Genomic DNA, 6,154 nt, shown 5'->3' with positions numbered 1-6,154 from the left:
CTGTTGCCCAGGCTGGAGTGCAGTGGCACGATCTCGGCTCACTGCAAGCTCCGCCTCCCGGGTTCAAGTGATTCATTCTCCTGCCTCAGCCTCCCGCGTAGCTGGGACTGCAGGTGACCGCCACCGTGCCCAGCTTTTTTGTTTTTTGTTTTTTTCTTTTTTTTGTATTTTTAGTGGAGACGGGGTTTCACCGTGTTAGGCAGGATGGTCTCAGTCTCCTGACCTTGTGATCTGCGGGTCTCGGCCCCCGCAAAGTGCTGGGATTACAGGTGTGAGCCGCCACGCCTGGCCACCAACCAAACACCATGTTAATGAAAGGAATAATGTTAAGAATGTAATGACCAGCATGGTTTCACAATTTATCTCTTTTATGATAATTTATAATACTGATGGATTTAAAAGTACTTCATACTAGCTTTAAAAAACACATTTTGAGCTCTCAGCTTTAAACATCTGGTGTCCATTATTTCTAAGAAAGTGTTAAGGAAATTCTAAAAAGAAAACATTTAGGGAATAAAGAAGAAACTGGTTAGAAATTACTCAACTGGTTTTGAAGAAATAAGGTTAGAACTCTTATTCCAATGCAGAATAAGAATTAAAATACAGTTCCAGAAAGGAGAAATTAGGATGTACATATTTACAGAGCAATAAAATATATCTAGACTCACATTGTGTGACCGACTGATCATTTCTCTTTGTACAGGAGTTCAGTGGTGGAATGAATCTTCATTTTCAGAAGAATTTAAAAAAGAGAGCAGTTGTTTTCTTTTTTACTTAATTAATTTAAACCCTTCTATTCCTAATTTAGACTTTAGGTGACACCATTGAAGTAACAAGAGAAAAGATTATTTTAATCATGGACAGAGTTTCAGCCATGCAATAAAGACACAGTGAGCATCAGCAATGAAGGAAGCCCTAAACCAGGCACTTGAGTTATAACGCTAGACTGTGAAAAGCGGAAATGCACCCATCCCATCTGAACAGGATATGGCCAGGTACCTGCCGTGACATCCAGAGGGAAAGCCTGTAAACATACTTTCCCGCTTAGGAACTAAGTCATCTACCACCCAGAAAGATTTTTCAGGGGATATGTGAGTTAATGTTTACCGACTGCTTTAATATTCTAGGATTAAAAATGGAACATCAGAAAGAAGAGGCTGTGCTGGAATTTGGAGGCCATTCAAAAATCCAGCCCAGCAAGTCTAATGGTTTGTTTTCAACATTTATTTAACCTCCTTCTGCTATCAAGAAACCTGAGAGCCCTCTGAGGAAGTTTATAGTGAAGGAAATGGAGAAAGTGTACCTTGTTTTTGAGTTGTTTTGTTAAAGCTCCTAGATAGCAAAAGTGTGTGTTTGATAACTAGGAACATTTGCCCAGCTTGTCGAGAGGTAATAGGCTTAAATCTTTGAACCAACCAAGATTGGGTATCTTGCCATGCCGCCTTAGAAAAGCAAATGTTGTTAGAGCCCTTGAAATAATCTTAAATTCTGTCCTTGAAATAGCTATAAATGAACTTGGACTCCGTTCAACATAGGCCAGTGAAGAGAACATGCCAGGGGGAAATGTTTTTGTCCACCCTGGAATGGCCAGCTGTCGCTGCCTGCCAGCAAACGGAGGGCACAGAATGGCCGGATCTGTGGGAATAAGCAAACAGTTCTGTTTTCTCCACAGAAACTCATTTCCCTGGGCTTCATATTGACAATTGTGAGCTATATTTACAAAGGGGTTTGTATGCAAAAGAAGCATCCACTAGTGTAGTGGCAAATATTTATCCCAGCAGGTCTGGGAGCTACCTCACCCAGCTTGCTTTTTATAGAACCAGGTGATAACACATTTCAAAGAGCTGATTTGAGAGGCAAGTGTTTACTAGCATAAAAATGTTCTTTAATTAGTATTTATCTCAGAGTCAGGGTGACATAAGTTGCTACTTATGCTGATACAAGAACAGATAGAGATATTCTTGTATGGAGGGAGAAAGGGGTAGTAGACATGCCTTTTGGATTTGGGGTATATGTTTATATTAGCTTGATTTGACCCTAAATTAGCTAGAATCCAGTCTGGTCTTTGGTTAACCTGTATTTAAAATATCCTTCATGGTATCTAAAGACACTGTGCCAGCTTTAGTCTTGGACACTAAGAATGTCAAGTTGTACACTGCATAGGCAATTGAATAGATCATCTCAGTTGCTTCATAGAAGTTACTTTTCATCCCAATGTTGATGAGTGGGAACTTTATACATCTCCCAGGAGCTGATTATCTCAATAACTGCCAAAAGTAAGTCATTTTTTACACAAAAAAATTCAATGGAGAAATATCCTTTATATCCTTCTGAGCTCTAATAATAAACTATTTTATTAAAAATCCTATTCCCGTATAAAATGATTTAAAATATGTGTGTTGCTTATAATAGCTTGGCACATGGTGCAGACTCAATTATCTATCTATCTATTTATTTTTTCAAGTATTTGCAAGAATGATTATTTATAGCATGGTTTTTAAAAAGGAGAGTATAGACTACATTTTCTATTTTTCTCATGGCCAATAATAATACTTAATGCTTGCATAGCATTTTTATGTGCTAATCTCTGTTCTTAACACTTACCATATAATAATTTATTTCATTCTCAGGCAACTGTATGAGATCAATATTATTAAGTATGCCTATTCTGTCTGCTGGAGGCACTGAGGCACAGTGTTCAGTCATTTGTCAAGGCTCATATAGCTAGTAGGTGGCACAGCTGAGACAGAAACCCAGAGTGTCTGAGCACAGAGTTTGTGTATTTGGCCATTGTCCTATCCTGCCAGTCAAGAGGTCTAAGGTATTCACATGCTAAGAAATACCCCATAAATTCTCTCTTCTCCTGCACTCTCTTAAACTTGCTTCTTATTTATTGGTGCTTCAGCAGCATTTTGATAGGTGTTCATTATGGTGAACCCACACCAAGATCCTGAATTCCATTTGAATCAATAATAGATTGCATAATACTTCTGTGATATTTAGAGTTGAGAAGGTAATCAATAGAGAGCACAATAGAATTAACTTATTAAAATATGTCATTAACTAGGACTTCTGCTTACTCCTTTCAGCAGGCCAGATCAAAAATTGTTCTTACAGTATTTGGGAAGATAGCTTTCAGATGATGACTTTTAACCTCATAAGGAGATCAGAGTTAATGACTCTGCTTATGGGAAATCTTGCCAGTCTCAGTAACACTGCATGTTTATTTTCAAAACTGTGTAGTTTAATCATTGCTATATTTCTGGTGACTTCTCATAAAAGCAAAAATACCTTTTATACTCATTTCTAATATAGCCTATTAAGAGGACTTTTTGTTTTTGCTTTCTAGCAATTCATGACTGTAACCTCTAACATGCCAATTTATGATTTGGAAGTACTTTAAGGATTTTTGTCTATCATGCTTGTCCTTTATTTCCTTCTCTACCAAATTTAGAACAAAGTATATGCCTAAAAATATCCATCCAGTCAGTTTTTATGATATGGAAATACAACTATTTTTTAATTAAAAAGCTCTCATGTTATTTGGTTATTTCTATCTATAGCCTATTTCAACAATAAAATGTACTTACAAAGCACCTCAGAATCAAGTCTATTTAAACACAAAATGGGATATGTGTTAGCCCTACAACACCAGCATAACACTGGTGTGATTTGTCATCTCTGTTATGCTGCTAGTAGAGTCACATGCTCCAGGAACAGCAATGAAATGCTATATAAGCTTTGGGCAAGACAAATTTTAGATTTCTTAATTACCAGTAGTTGGAAACGTGATTGGAATTTTCTGAGGTTAAAGTAGATATCTAATCTACCTTGTCTCATTCACATGCTCACAAACTCAGATTTATAAGAAATATGAATTCTTTTGTTTTCAACAACCCAACTTAATTTCTATTTTAAGCCACAATCCTACTGGACTGGCAGAATTTTTAAACCAAAGTCTTTTGAAAAATAACCTCATCTTCATTCCTTCCCTCCCATCAACCTGGGCACATCAGATAACCATTTCAGACTAGGGGTCTTCTCTGTTCCCAGGAGCTGAGGGAGAGCCAGCAGCCCCTCACCTCAACCTTTGTGCTTCTCCCCATGACCACAGAGGGAAGAATCACTTTTAATTCAGGAGCAGTAGTGCTATTCTCATTTCTTATGACCAAGCCATTTCTACCCCTCCCCATTCCATTTTGCAATCCTCTTTTTTTAAAAAAATTATTGTAACCTTCTTTGTAAAACTTTACACATTTCCATAAAGGCCTGGGCTTTTGGAATGCAAAAGTTTAGTTCCCAGCCTGAACTGCTTATGATAACAGTGAGAGAAAATTTAGAAATGGAATAAAGGAAATCCAAGAAGAACAACGTAAGATTATATTTCAAAATATTGCCCTTTTCTATAGGAATTATTGTAAGCCAGGCTATTGACATCATCCTCACTTTAAAACTGAGGAAACTGAGGCACAAAGAGATTCAGTCATATACTCAAGGTAACTCAGTTAATAAGTATAGAGTTGAAAGTCAAACCAGGCAGCCTGACTTCAGAGCCTATCCTCTTAACCACCCCACTCCATTGCCTGTCAAAAGGGCAATATTTTGAAATATAATCCTACGTTGTTCTTGGACTTCCTTTTTCTATTCTAAATTTCATGTTATATACGAGTTTACAGGTTTATAGCACTGAGAACAGTGCCTGGTAAAAAGTAAGTGCTATGCCACCATTAACTGCTATTATGATTATTAGAACAAAAGTCTTGATTTTTACTTGGTCCTTGTGGCTGAGACAAAGGAAAACCTCAACTTGGAAAGCTTGAACCATGACTTTCATTCATGTTACATTTTGTACAGTATGTGTACAAAATACTTAAAACCAGGTATGTGTATGGAATACAACTAGTTCTTAGACTCCAGGAAGAATTATGTAAGGTTCAAGAAATAAGAAAAACTTCCAGTTGAATGCTCAAAGCTTTCATGTTGACAAATATTTAATTCTTCTCATTAAGGAACAGAGAACAGTCTTCTTATTTACTCTCGTGAAGAAATGTAGCAGTGTATTGGAGGGAAAGCTTTGAGAAACAAAAATGCCCTCCATAATAACATTACACTATATTGTTTAAGAAATAATGAAAAGAAAGAAAATAATAATAAAATAACATTACAGTTATATACTGAGTACATACATGGGCAGATATAATGGCACACCAGCCTGTCTGCCACGTGTTATTATAATAGCTTCCTAACTTGTCACCAGCAGCCAAAAGAGTCTTAATAAAACACAATCAACTCATGGTAATTTCCGTTGACTTTTCATTTCACTGATAGTAAAAACCAAGGCCCTTGCTGTGTCCGTCAAGGCCCTAAGTGATACATATCTCCCTTTACAATGTCTCTGACCTGCCACTCATCAGACACTCTTCTCATAGAAACATGGCCCTGCTTCCATGGAAGGACTTGCCCCTTACCGACCTCTCTCCCTGGGCTGCTCCTTCACCACATATTTACATGGCTCACTCTCTCACTTGCCAGGTATTTACTCAATGTCATCTTCTCAATGAGGTCTTCTGTGGTCCTGTGTCCCCCTTCCATGCAAGTCTTCCATGCTTCAGTGTTTCTCTTAGCACTTAACACAATCTAACACATTTTGTGTTTTCCGGGAACCTCTTCAGGGTCAGGGATATTTCTTGGTATTTTTCACTGCTCTCTCCCCAGCACCAGGCACATAGTAGGCACTCAGTAGATAGTTGTCCAGTGAATGGATGTGTACTGGATGTTTGGGACTGTGCTGAGTCCCTTATAGGGGATATCTCATTTGACCTTACTACAATTCTAAGAAGTTGGAGTCACAGGATAAATAACATGAACTGACTTATGTTTTATTAGAATCACTCTGGCTGCGGTGACAAGTTGGGAAGCTATTGCAATAATCCAGGGCAAAAAGGCTGGTGTTTTGAAGCAGGGCAGCTGCAGTAGAGTTGGTGAGAAGGAGTCAGATGTTCAGTAAATCCCTCAGTAAATGAGGACACTGAATTAGAGAAATTAAATGCCCTGTTCAAGGTTACCTAGCTATTGAATGGCAGACTCTGTGTTTAGATGAGACAAGCTGGATCTTATCTACTAGTCTCTGTCGTTGCTTACACTACAAACTTCA

This window comes from Homo sapiens, chromosome 5 (genome assembly GCF_000001405.40).
Source record: "Homo sapiens chromosome 5, GRCh38.p14 Primary Assembly".
NCBI lineage: Eukaryota > Metazoa > Chordata > Mammalia > Primates > Hominidae > Homo > Homo sapiens.
Note: the sequence above shows the minus strand (reverse complement) of the source record.